This window comes from Homo sapiens, chromosome 1 (genome assembly GCF_000001405.40).
Source record: "Homo sapiens chromosome 1, GRCh38.p14 Primary Assembly".
Taxonomy (NCBI): Eukaryota; Metazoa; Chordata; class Mammalia; order Primates; family Hominidae; genus Homo; species Homo sapiens.
In genome coordinates this window covers 120,782,131-120,795,731 of record NC_000001.11, presented here as the reverse complement: position 1 = coordinate 120,795,731, position 13,601 = coordinate 120,782,131, and the positions used below count along the sequence as shown (strand labels likewise).

Genomic DNA, 13,601 nt, shown 5'->3' with positions numbered 1-13,601 from the left:
GAAAATAAACTGCCTCGGTTTCAGGACCCAGCCTAACCACATATTAGCTGTACAACTTTGGGTGAATCACTTAACATCTCCAAACTTCAGTTACTTCATGTGGGAAGACTTGAAAAATAATACCTGGTCCCAAGATTTTTGTGTAATTGAGCTAATAAGCATGGAAGTACCTGGCACAGTTCCTGAGTCACCAAAAAAATGTTAGTTTTCTCTTCATCAAATCTCCCCATTCCCACCCCTCATGCTAATCTCCCCTCCCACACACACACACACCATCAGTGAGTAAATAAGTGTCTTGCGTTAAACTACAACCAGAGAATAAGAGACAGCCAAGATTTCCTTACTCTATTTCACTAGCCCTGGCAGCCTCTCAGCTGCGGAATCCTTGGTTATTTCCTTTCTCAAGGAGGAGATACTATTCTAGTTTGACAGATCCTTTCCTGGACACACTCTCAGAATTCCCTAAGGTTCTTATCGTGGCTAATGGATAACAATGCAGAGGCTATGGGAGTGAATAATCACTCTCTCTCAGCTAAAAACTTCCTTTATTGACTTCTCTAACTTCCCGTCAACATCTTGCTGCCAAATCAACCTCTTGTTCTAGGCAATTATTAAAAGCAATTTTCTTGAAACTGAAAAACACATTTAGCCTTCAACAATAAATCACACTAACATCAATTACTAGCCAATTAGATTACTAGAATATCAGACCCAGAGATATTTGCAGTGTTGAAATATTTTCAAAATAAAGTTGTTTACATTTCTATTTCTGTCTTTAACCCTTAAAATGCAAACAAATACAGGAGTGAAGACAGATGTATTTTAGTTACTTCTTCTACAAGATAAAGTGGATAGTAATATTATGTTAAGAAAATACTTATTTAGTATCTAGAATGATAGCATTATCTATTCTTTATTAAAAGAGAAACTAAAAGTAATATAATTAAATAGCTTGTTCTTGTGACTTAAATAATATAAAATTTTCATTTCAATTATGTGACAATGCTTTGTATAGCTGTATTCCAAATACATAGCATGGTGCCTAGAACATAGCAGGCAGTCAATACATTTTTACCAAATGAAATGAATAAATTACCAGTTGATTTTATACTGAGGACCAAACTATGACCTTTAATCCCTCCAAAATAAAACACACAATCCCATTATATGTGAACCATATCCACAATACCAGAATCTAAGATTCCCACTCTGAAAGAGTAACTAGAACAACTTCTTTTTGAGGCAATTCTGCTTACTTAGCACATTACTCCCTCCTACAGTTTTCCTTCTTTTGTTTTTGTACTAAGGATATTTGTATAAAAACAGGATCTTTGTTGCTTAGTAATTCATCTGCTTCAGCTGCTTGTATTCTGTTCCCAATCAAAATTCTTGGTTTTCAGCCTCCTCATCATTTTTATAAGGAGTTGAATGAATTGGCCAAGCTTGTTCCTTTCTCCCTCTCCATGGAACACCAGGCCCCAAGCTCCCCGACACTGCTCCTCTTTTTATTTCTATCTTTGGGTTGTGTGTGCACTCTACAACACTTGTATCAGTGAAGAGTGTAACAAAGTATTGTGCCACACATAGTCTCTCATATATCATCTATCAGCTCATCAAAAAGTGCTCACTGATTAACAGAGGATCCCCTCCTCAGTTTCAGAATTCTCTAGCTTTAAGTTAGGGGAGGGTTACCCCAAAGTCAGAGAGGGTACATGGGAGAGGGTTGTGAAGGCCAGTAGCCCAGAGAAAATCAAGGGCAGCTGGGTGCATTTAGGTGGATAAGAAAACAATGAATTACTCCATCAAAAGCAAAAGCACAAGCACATAGTAAAGTTGATCACCTACTGTTAATGTCAATTCAGTTTAAAGCACTTTATTAACCACACATACATATTTTCCAGTGTCTAATTCTCATCGTGTTCTTTTCCATTCCAGACTTGCCTGTCTCTTTCCCAGAGCTCTGTTCCTCTTATTTCTCACTGTTTCTACAAAAGGGACAATAAACAATTTTCTAGCCACTCATCATCATAAACCCTGACATGCTAAATTATCCCCTGCTCAGTTTATGGACCACAGTGGGCCCATAAAACTCCTCCCTCACTAGCAACCCACCCCACACAAAATTCTCACTTCCCTTTTTCCTTGCGCTTCCTAAAAAATGCAATTGAGCCACACCCACTACCTCCTGTGCTAGGGGTTTGTCCCCTAATCCTGGGACACTAGGGAGCTCCTTACCTGGAAGGCAGTTGCACTCAAAAGTGAAGTCACCAGTCTGCCGACAGGTGCCTCCATTGACACAAGGCGAGTGTGCACAGGGCACATACAGTCTGTCACAGTACTGGCCTGTGAAGCCCTGAAGGCACTGGCACTGGTAGGAACCAGGCAGGTTGAGGCAGGTGCCACCATGCTGGCAGTGTCCTGGAATGTCACACTCATTGACATCAGTCTCACACTTCTGCCCTGTGAAGCCTGTGAGGCATTTGCAGGAGAACTGGTTGGCCACAGTGGTACAGGTACTTCCATTTGCACAGAGATGAGACAGGCAGGCATCGGTCCATTGGCACTCCTTACCTAAAGGAAGGATAACAAAACTCAGTACTGGCCACAGAAATAGGAGATGGCCCCATCCTCAATACCTCATTGACATCAGCGAGCTCTTGCGTGGAGAAGACCTCAACTCTTTGCATTTTACAAAAGGCTAAATCAGAGCCTCCTCAAGGTAATCTGACACAGAGCCCTCTCCAGTAACTCTCCAAGGACCTCAGCAGAGACACAAGGACTCAGTGGGTGGAGCACCTGGAGGCAATTGTAGGTTAGTCACATTGAAGCCCAATCCTGCAGGACGCTATTAGCAATAGGAGTCTGGATCCATCTACTCTCTCAGAGCTCACTGTCTTTGCATATGCTGCTCCTGTTTGAATATCAACTTCTGGGCCAGGAGCAGTGGCTCACACCTGTAATTCCAGCACTTTGGGAGGCCGAGGCAGGCAGATCATGAGGTAAGGAGTTCAAGACCAGCCCGGCCAATATGGTGAAACCCTGTCTCTACTAAAAATACAAAAATTAGCTGGGCATGGTGGCGCGCACCTGTAATCCCAGCTACTTGGAAGGCTGAGGCAGAAGAATCACTTGAACCCAGGAGGCGGAGGTTGCAGTGAGCCGAGATTGTACCACTGCACTCCAGCCTGGGCGACACAGCAAGACTCTATTTCAAAAAAAAAAAAATCAACTTCCCTTCTGTTTTCCTAGTGAACTCTCCCTATCTTGGCAACTGTACTCAAAAGTTCCAACCTCTGTAAAGTCATCCTTAGTGCCCCTCACATACATACATGTGCGCAAACACAGATACACCAAGTTTGCTATTTTCTTCTATTATACCACCTGCCACACTGGCAGGGTTGGGTCTCCATGGTATGCTCTCAAATCATGTCTGTTGAATGGATAAAATATATCGATATTTTCCACAAAATATAGTTACTAAATAGACCTCTGGTGATAGAAACAAGTCAATACTACTTCTGTTTCCTCTAAATGTAACACACACATATATTCTGGGAAACATTTTATTAATTGTGGCCTTGCTATAAATATCTGTTGATGTGTTTGAAAATGATGAAGGAACTCTGGGTCCCTATATAACAAATGAAATAGAAGCCATCAGGAGGACAGAGGTCTCGAAGGTATTCCATGGACTTTCTCAAGTAGGAAAGTACCAGCACTAGCAGGAAGACTCTGACGGGTTGAAAACTAAATCATGATGGCAGGGGAAGCAAAGCAGATTCTTTGAGGCAGAAAGAGAAAGAGAAAAAAATATCCTCACAGAACTAGTAAATTTGGTATTCACATGGCTGGCTTTTTGTTGTCATTAGTCTAAGTCACTTATTATTTAAACTACAGAGATGAGAACTCCTTGAATTTTTATTACTATTATTATTATTATACTTTAAGTTCTAGGGTACACGTGCACAACATGCAGGTTTGTTACATATGTATATATGTGCCATGTTGGTGTGCTGCACCCATTAACTCGTCATTTACATTAGGTACATCTCCTAATGCTATCCCTCCCCCATCCCACCACCCCACGACAGGCCCCGGTTTGTGATGTTCCCCTTCCTGTGTCCAAGTGTTCTCATTGTTCAATTCCCACCTATGAGTGAGAACATGCGGTGTTTGGTTTTTTGTCCTTGCAATAGTTTGCTGAGAATGATGGTTTCCAGCTTCATCCATGTCCCTACAAAGGACATGAACTCATCCTTTTTTATGGCTGAATAGTATTCCATGGTGTATATGTGCCACATTTTCTTAATCCAGTCTATCATTGATGGACATTTGGGCTGGTTCCAACTCTTTGCTATTGTGAATAGTGCCGCAATAAACATACGTGTGCATGTGTCTTTATAGCAGCACGATTTATAATTCTTTGGGTATATATCCAGTAATGGGATGGCGAGAACTCCTTGAATTTGTTAATACTCCAGTTGATTGTCTAGGAAAGTATCTAAATCTCTGACCTCATAGAAAGGTAAATGGGAGACACAAGAGTTTTTCTATAAGGGAAAAGGATGCGAGATGTGACATATGAGCACAGAAAAGTGCTCTCTGCCTATCAAGGAATGTCAAATCAAAGGAGAAAACTATAACACAAATTTAGGCACAGCATATACATCTCAGGGAGCTAAGACAGAAAATGAAGGAACTGCAATTCTTCTTGTCTTTCCACTCATGTCACTAAGAGGCACTTATTTACAGTGGAGAAGAGATATAAATGCTCACTTCTAGCAAGTGTGATTTTCAGAGTGATGCCCACAACTGAAACAGAAAGATCCCTGGGCCGGAAGTGGTGGCTGATGCCTGTAATCCCAGCACTTTGGGAGGCTGAGGTGGGCAGATCACTTGTGGTTAGGAGTTTGAGACCAGCCTGGCCAACATGGTGAAACGCCATCTTTTCTAAAAATACAAAAATTAGCCGGGCTTCATAGCGCATACCTGTAATCCCAGCTACCTGGGAGGCTGAGGCACAAGAATCACTCGAACCCAAGAGGTGGAGGTTGCAGTGAGCCGAGACTGCGCCACTGTACTAAGCAACAGAGTGAGAAGAAAGAAAGACAGAAAGAGAGAGGGAAAGAGAGAGAAAGAGAAAGAAAGAAAGAAAGAAAGAAAGAAAGAAAGAAAGAAAGAAAGAAAGAAAGAAAGGGAGGGAGAAAGAAAGAAAGAATCAACCCTGAATTTGGTTTCCATATATATTATGTATAGGCACTAACTTGCTGCCTCTGCTTCTTCATCTCTGAGTGGAGATGAGCTAGTAAGCTGACTGAGGTATAGTGCTATCACAAAAACCAAAAGGATGACCTTGATCTGTGATGATTCCTAAAGTGATAGACAAAAATAGCATATGTATAAAAGATGATCAGAATCGGCCCGGTGTGGTGGCTCACACCTGTAATCCCAGCACTTTGGGAGGCCGAGGCGGGTGGATCATGAGGTCAGGCGATCCAGACCATTCTGGCTAACAAGGTGAAAGCCCATCTCTACTAAAAATACAAAAATTAGCCGGGCATGGCGGTAGGTGCCTGTAGTCCCAGCTACTCAGGAGGCTGAGGCAGAAGAATGGCGTGAACCCGGGAGGTGGAACTTGCAGTGAACCGAGATTGCGCCCTGCACTCCAGCCTGGATGACAAAGCAATACTCCATCTCAAAAAAAAAAAAAAAAAAAAAAAAGGTGATCAGAATCTTGCAGAACACACCAAGAAGAGATCCTTCTTAACAACAAGGAAGAAGTTTTAATTTGGGACCATTTCAGAGTGACATTTTAATTATGAAGAAGGCATTACTGTCATTTCCACTAGCCAGAATTGAAATATTTTAAGTGGGTATATGCCCCCCTACTTTGCCTCCTAATAGCAAAACAACTCAAAACTGACAATCAGGAAGAAATTATTCTTATAACACCAAATATTTTCAGTGACTTACATCATCAATACCATCATCATCATGATGGAGATCATGGATCATCCTAACTACCCTCTACCCCACCAACACCTTTTGATGAATGATATGGTTTGGTAGTGTCCCCACCCAAATCTCAACTTGAATTGTATCTCCCAGAATTCCCATGTGTTGTGGGAGGGACCCAGTGGGGTAACTGTATCATGGGGGCCAGTCTTTCCTGTGCTATTCTCATGATAGTGAATAAGTCTCATGAGATCTGATGGGTTCCTCAGGGGTTCTGCTTTTGCTTCTTCCTAATTTTCTCTTGCCACCACCACGAAAGAAGTGCCTTTTGCCTCCCACCATAATTCTGAGGCCTCCCCAGCCATATGGAACTGTAAGTCCAATTAAACCTCTTTTCTTCCCGGTCTCGGGGATATCTTTATCAGCAGCGTGAAAATGGACTAATACAGTAAATTGGTACCAAGAGTGGGGTTTTTGCGAGAGTGCCAGCTATCCCGAGGGAAACTTTGGAGGGAACCAGCTACTAGATGGTTCAATTAGTCTTTCGCCCCTACACCCAGGTTGGATGACCGATTTGCACATCAGGACTGCTACGGACCTCCACCAGAGTTTCCTCTGGCTTTGCCCTGCCCAGGCAGAGTTCACCACCTTTCAGGTCCTAACATTTGTGCTCATGCCCCACCTTCCCAGTGCAGAAAACAAGATGGGCCGGTGGAAAGCTGACCTGGCTACTGCCACCGCAGAGTGCCCAATTTGCCAGCAGCAGAAACCAACACTGCGCCTTTGATATGGCACTATTCCTCAGGGTGATCAGCCAGCTACTTGGTGGCAGGTTGATTATGTTGGACTTCTTCCATTGTGAAAAGGGCAGACGTTTGTCCTTACTGGAATAAACACTTACTCTGGATATGGGTTTGCCTATCCTGCATGCAATGGTTCTGCCAAGACTACCATCCGCGGACTCATGGAATGCCTTATCCACTGTCATGGTATTCCACACAGCATTGCCTCTGACCAAGGCATTCACTTTATGGCTAAAGAAGTGCAGCAGTGGGCTCAGGCTCATGGAATTCACTGGTCTTACCATGTTCCCCAACATCCTGAAGCAGAACGGTGGAATGGCCTTTTGCAGTCACAATTACAATGCCAACTAGGTGAGAATACTTTGCAGGGTTGGGGCAAAGTTCTCAAGAAGGCTGTGTATGCTCTGAATCAGCGTCCAATATGTGGTACTGCTTCTCCCATAGCCAGGATTCACAGGTCCAGGAATCACGGGGTGGAAATGGAAGTGGTACCACTCACCATCACCCCTAGTGATCCACTAGCAAAATGTTTGCTTCCTGTTCCCGCAACATTAAGTTCTGCTGGCCTAGAGGTCTTAGTTCCAGAGGGAGGAATGCTGCCACCAGAAGACACAACAACAATTCCATTAAACTGGTAGTTAAGATTGCCACCAGGACACTTTGGGTTCCTACCTTTAAGTAAACAGGCTAAGAAAGGCGTTACAGTGTTGGCTGGGACATCAAGGCTATCAAGACCCAGGCTATCAAGATGAAATCAGTCTACTACTCCAGAACGGAGGTAAGAAAGAGTATTCATGGAATACAGGAGATCCATTAGGGCGTCTCTTAGTATTACCATGCCCTGTGATTAAGGTCAATGGGCAACTACAACAGCCCAATCCAGGCGGGACTACAAATGGTCCCGCCTGGATGAATGAAGGTTTGGGCCTCTCCATCAGGAAAAAAAAAAAAACACAACCTGCTGAGGTGTTTGCTGAAGGCAAAAGGAATACAAAATGGGTAGAAGAAGGTAGTCATCAATACCACCTACTACCATGTGACCAGCTGCAGAAATGAGGACTGTAATTGTCCTCAGTATTTCCTCCTTCTTTTATTAAAAACATGTCTGTGCTTGCACACACTTGTACTAAGAAAATATCTTCATTTTATTTCCTTTCTCCTTTATCATGTGACATAAGATTTATTGACTTCACATCAGCATTTAAGTATCGTTAACTTTATGTAAGAGTGTTTCAGTTGGGGACTGGTGTGTTTCCGGATGTACGAAGAATAGTTGTACTACATCAGGTGTAATTATGACCTAATTATTGTCTTTATTTGAAGATTATGTGTGATCTCAGGAGATGTGTATGGGTTCAAGTTGACAAGGGGTAGATTTGTGGTGGTTAAAACTGAGTGTGTCAACTTGATTGAATTGAAGGATACAAAGTATTGATCTTGGGTGTGTCTGTGAAGGTGTTGCCAAAGGAGATTAACATTTGAGTCAGTGGGCTGGGGAAGGCAGACCCACCCTTAATCTGGATGGACACCATTTGATCATCTGTCAGCAAATATAAAGCAGGCAGAAAAACATGAAAAAGCGAGACTGGCCTAGCCTCCCAGCCTACATCTTTTTCCCGTGCTGGATGTTTCCTGCCCTCAAATATCGAACCCCAAGTTCTTCGGTTTTGGAACTCAGACTGGCTCTCCTTGCTCCTCAGCCTGCAGACAGCCTATTGTGGGACCTTGTGATCATGTGAATTAATACTTAACAAACTCTCCTTTATATATATATAAAGATTGCCAATATATATATATTAAGATTGCCACCAAGACACTTTGGGTTGGAATATATATACATACATATATATTCCATCAGTTCCATCCCTCTAGAGAACCCTAATACAATGAAAAATTAATATAACAGTATTCTACACTAACTGATCCAGTATAGTCTTCTGAGTACATTTTTCACTTTTTTGCTTATTGCATTTATAGAACTCTTGGTTTAGTGCTTAAAGCAGGAGAAAAAATGAAGAATGTTCCTCCTTTTCTCATCTAATTTAATAAACACTTTTGAATAAAGCTCAGACCCACCTAGAAAAACCCACAATCTATTCAGGTGAGATATGTGTAAAAAAAATTACAATAAAATGTGATACATAAAACTAATAAAACTTAGAGACCATTTGCCTAAAGGAATCATGAAAGGGTCACTAAGACACAGTTTTAAATAACATTGGACAATCACCAGTTGTAGAAAAGGGCATTCCAGGCAAAAGGGTGTGTAACTGTATGGAAGCAATAATAAGTACAACATTTTCAGGAAATAAGGAGAATTTGGTGTGACTAGGCCTAGATGCTTGTGGGGAGGCCAGGCTATAAAAAGATGTAAAGTCTAGGCTGTAGAGAGCTATGGAAGTCATGTAAAAGAGTTTGCAGTTTATTCTGCGGATGATGAAAAAATATTAGACATTGTAAGCAGGTGAGATTGTTAGAATATTTGCATTTATAATCAAAGATGTAGTAATATCATGGGTGAATGAGATGGGGAGAGAATAAAGGCAAGAAAACGTATTCAGAAACTACTTCAGAAGTCCAGGTGAGAGATAACATGGCCCTCAACTACAGGGTAGCAGAGGAAATGGGAGGAATAGACAGGTGAAAGGCAACTCAGAGGTTGGCTTGGGTGACTGAGTTGAAATGAGGTCAGAACAAGGGACAGGGAGTTTCTAGCGTGGGTATTTGGGATGTACATGGTTGCTACGTATTTCTGTCAACAAGGTGAGCTGAAAGTACCTGTAGAATATCTCCAAGGAGAACATACAAAGGATAGCTAGAAACATGAGCCTGAATGTCAGGGTTGGGTGGAGCTAAGGGAATGATGGTGAGATTCATCAGCAAGCTAATGAAGACAGTGGCAGTGGAGGCGAATACAGACAGTGAAATTCCCTAGGGAGAGCTGTGATGTGGCTCAAAAGAGGGCGCAAAACAGTGCTCCAGGGAGCACAAACATTTAATGGATAAGAACAAGGTAATGAAGAAGCAAAAGGAACAGGGTTCAGAAAACCAGAAAAGCCAGTGCCCTGAATGTCTAGGGAGGGAGATTTCTAAAAGCAAATAGTCAATAACATCAGCAACTTTTCCTCTGGTGACAGTGTACTTATTTCTTTTAGTGAAGTAAACTCTGATTCCCCATCCTGGTGTACATATTTTTTTTTTTGAGACAGGGTCTCACTCTGTCACCCAGGCTAGAGTGCAGTGGTGCGATCATAGCTCACTGCAGCCTCAAACTCCTGGGCTCAAGCAATTCTTCCACTTCAGCCTCCCAAGTAGTTAGGACTACAGGTGCACACCACCACACATGACTAATTTTGTTTTATTTTTATTCTTGTTTTTTTGTAGAGATGGGGTCTTGCTATGTTTCCCAGGCTGGTCTCAAACCTCTAGCCTCAAGTGATCCTCCTGCCTTGGCCTGCCAAAATGCTGGGATTGCAAGCGTGCGCCACCGCACCTGGCCCTGACATATATACTTTAAGCAGTCAAAGTATTTGGTCCTTTTTCTTTCTCTTTCTCTGCCCCCTGAAACTCTTAAAAGGAAGTTAGGGATAGTTGTCTGGAACATCCCAGTTCCTTATCATAATGTTAAATGTGCACCAGAGCTGGGGGACATTTAAGAGCCAGACACCATGATCTAAAAGATGCTAAATAAAGGTATCTGCTGAAGGTAGGGAAGCACTGGCTTTGGTCTCATTAGTTACCTGTAAACCCGACTTGACAGGTGCACTCATAGGTATCCCGGCTGAGCATATGGCATGTGCCGCCATTCAGGCAAGGTCGAGACACAAAGCATGGATGAGGTGTCGAGTACTGGCAGTCCTCTCCTGTAAACCCTGAGGCACACCGGCACGTGGCTTTCCCCAGCATGGCCTGGGCCACACAAGTCCCACCATTCTGGCAGCGGTTCTTCTCACAGGGGTCTCGATGTTGACAATATTCCCCCAAGAAGCCTTCTGGACATCTGTATGGAAAAGAGAAGAGTCCATGAAAACACCTGACTTCTTGTAAGTCCAAAAAATTACAGTAAAACAATACAGTCCAATCAAGAAAGCACGAGATTGTGAATCAACAGACCTACAAGTACCACCTATAAAACTGCTTCCCTTTAGAAGAAAGAGTCCTTAGAGAACTTAACCACGTACTCCCATGTCCTTTTGAGTCCTGGCAGAAAAATTCTTACACTCTTGGAGTTTACATTCTAATAGCTGAAGACGAAAACAAAATTACTAAGTAAAAGATGCACAATAGATGGAGTTAAGTGCTGTGAAAAAAAATTAAACAGGAAGGAATGGAATGGAACTGGGGATGAGGGTGTGGGGTGAGCAAAGAGAAGTATCTCAGTTTAGAATAGGAAAATCAGAGAAGACCTTCACTGACAATACTTGAGTTGAGACCTAAATAAGGTGAGAGTAATCATGCAGGTATCTTAGGGAAACACATTCATGAGAAAGGGAACAGCAAATGCAAAGGCCATAACACAGAGAGCAGCCCTAGCGTGTTTGAGAAACAGCAAGAATATCTGGAGCAGCAGAAAATAGATGAGAGCTGTAACTGGGATGTGGATCAATTGGGGCCTTTAAGCCACTGTAAAGAAAGACTTAGGGTTTTCCTCTAAATGGGATAATACTTACATATGAGGTACAACAGACTTACTCTCCTAAAGCCGGTGTACAGAACCATATATTTGCTTTATGTGAAACTAGACCTACTGTATTAATAAAGTTTGATTTCTATTTAAAATGTTTTAGAGGGCTGGACATCAGCTTAGTTCTTTACTTTTACCTTAGAAGATATACAAGTCTCTTTTAACCCACACTTTCATGAGGTCCCATTTACCTTTCCAAATTATTGTTTCACAGCTAACCTTCTATGACTGTAGCCTAATTTCAGATATTTCTCTTTCTTTTCCATCTACTTCTTACTTATCCCTCTGCAACAAAACTTTAATTCTAATTATTGCTTAGAAACTGTTTTCTAAAAACAATGACTTTCCTCTAGTCAAGTTCAGTGGTCTCATCTGAAACTTCATAAGGAAATTCTCTCTCCTATAGGGAGAATTGCTAACCACTCCATGTACCGTTTTAATCATTTTACCTTGGCTTCTATGACTCCCTCTGTCTAACTCAAAACCCAGTGAAGTCTTAGTCTGGATTGCTGATTTCTCCTTCTTCCCCATATATTATGGCCACCCTAACGTTTAAGTCTGGACTGCACTGCTCTTTCTCTCAAATGCATTTGTTACTGTTGTTCACTTGGTTTTAAACAACTTCCTTCCTGTAACTGACTCCAAAATACACTGTTCCAGTCCCATATGTTCAGTTTTCTAGAAGTCATCTCTCTATCCTAATATGTGCTGCCACTATTTGAAACTAAACATTTGTAAAAGGAGATCATCTTCCCAAGAAACTTTAATTATTCAATTTTTCTAAGGCTTCCACACACAATTTAAAGTAACTTCATCTCTTTAAGTTGTATATAATTTATTACCACATTCTGACAAGACTTGTTAACTGAATTCCTATAATACTTATCATTCGTGTTCACAGTTTCCTTTTTGATACAAATTCTGATCATCTTAAAAGCCTCAGGCCAGACATCATCTTGTTGCTGGCTTTTCCCCCATTTCCAGCCATCCTTGGAATAACAGAACCTTCAGATTCAAGAAATTTAATTTCTATCCAATTAAGTAATCATTTCTAAAATATTTCTAAAAGATGATCACCAGCCTCTGCTTGAATACAAGCATGTAGCATGGTGCCGGATAAATCTTGAGAATTTAATAAATGCTTGGAGTTATTATTGTTCTGCTCTTAAGAGTACAGACTCTGGAACCAGACCACCTGGATTTCAATCCCAACTCCACCATTTACTCAATGTGTAATCTTGGGCAAGGTACTAAACTTCCCTGTTGTAAAAGAGATGTAATAACAGTGCCTACTTCATAGGATTTTTAAATAAGGGTAAAGCACTTAGAACACTATCCAGCACATAGTAAACACTATGCATTTGTTAAGTGAAATTACTGGCTGACTACTTCAACAAAAGAACAGTCTTCAATGTGGGTGGATTCCACTGTGAGAAAGCTCTTTCTTAATTCTTCAAATTCTGCCTCCCTTCCTAGGTATATACCCGAGATAACTGAAAACATATGCCCACATAATAAAAATGTTCATAGCAGCATTATTCATAATAGCTAAAAAGTAGAAACAACCCAAATGCCTATAAGCTGATGAACAGATAAATAAAATGTGGTATATCCATAAATGAAATATGTGGCCATGAAAAGGAATGACATTCTGATACATGCTACAACATGGATGAACCTTGAAAACATGCTAAGTGAAAGAAGCCACACACAAAAGGCCACATATTATATAATTCCATTTATATGAAATGTCCAGAATATGCAAATCCGTAGAGATAGAAAGTAGATTAGTGTTGCCAGGAGCTGTAAAGAAAGGGAAATAGACAGTGACTACTAAGCAGTAGAGAATTTCTTTCAGGGTGATAAAAATGTTTCGAAATTAGATAATGGTGGTGGTCTCATAACTCTGGAAATACTAAAGTCTACTAAATTAAACACTTTAAAAGGGTAAATTTTATGATACATAAATTATGTCTTAACTTTGAAAAGAACAAACTTTGTCTCTCTACAATTTCCAGGTTATCTCTACCCTCTAGAACAAAAAAGAACAAGCCTTCTGCTTCTCTTACACGTAGCCCTTCAAGAATCTGAAGATAGTTATGTGGGCCTTTTGTTTTCTTTTTTCCAGGATTCAATGGTTTGGCGTATTCCTCAGTATA

The 13,601-nt window shown here is 41.3% G+C and overlaps 2 protein-coding genes across 4 annotated transcripts in view; both read right to left on the bottom strand.

The window, feature by feature from the left end:
- The window catches only part of NBPF26 (NBPF member 26), a 118,285-nt gene that overhangs the window by 46,498 nt on the left and 58,186 nt on the right, over positions 1-13,601 (bottom strand). For all 3 annotated transcript variants that reach the window (NM_001405520.1, NM_001351372.2, NM_001395637.2), the window contains exons 3-4: positions 10,499-10,758; positions 2,236-2,571 (exon numbers count right to left, since the gene is read on the bottom strand). In NM_001405520.1, the coding sequence (NP_001392449.1) occupies positions 2,236-2,571; positions 10,499-10,758 (596 nt within the window). The remainder of the gene's footprint in view (positions 1-2,235; positions 2,572-10,498; positions 10,759-13,601) is intronic.
- Positions 881-13,601, bottom strand: part of NOTCH2NLR (notch 2 N-terminal like R) — a 70,907-nt gene continuing 58,186 nt past the window's right edge. The window contains exons 3-5 of the mRNA NM_001396072.1: positions 10,499-10,758; positions 2,236-2,571; positions 881-1,985 (exon numbers count right to left, since the gene is read on the bottom strand). Coding sequence (NP_001383001.1) covers positions 1,912-1,985; positions 2,236-2,571; positions 10,499-10,758 — 670 coding nt within the window. The 3' untranslated portion in view covers positions 881-1,911. The remainder of the gene's footprint in view (positions 1,986-2,235; positions 2,572-10,498; positions 10,759-13,601) is intronic.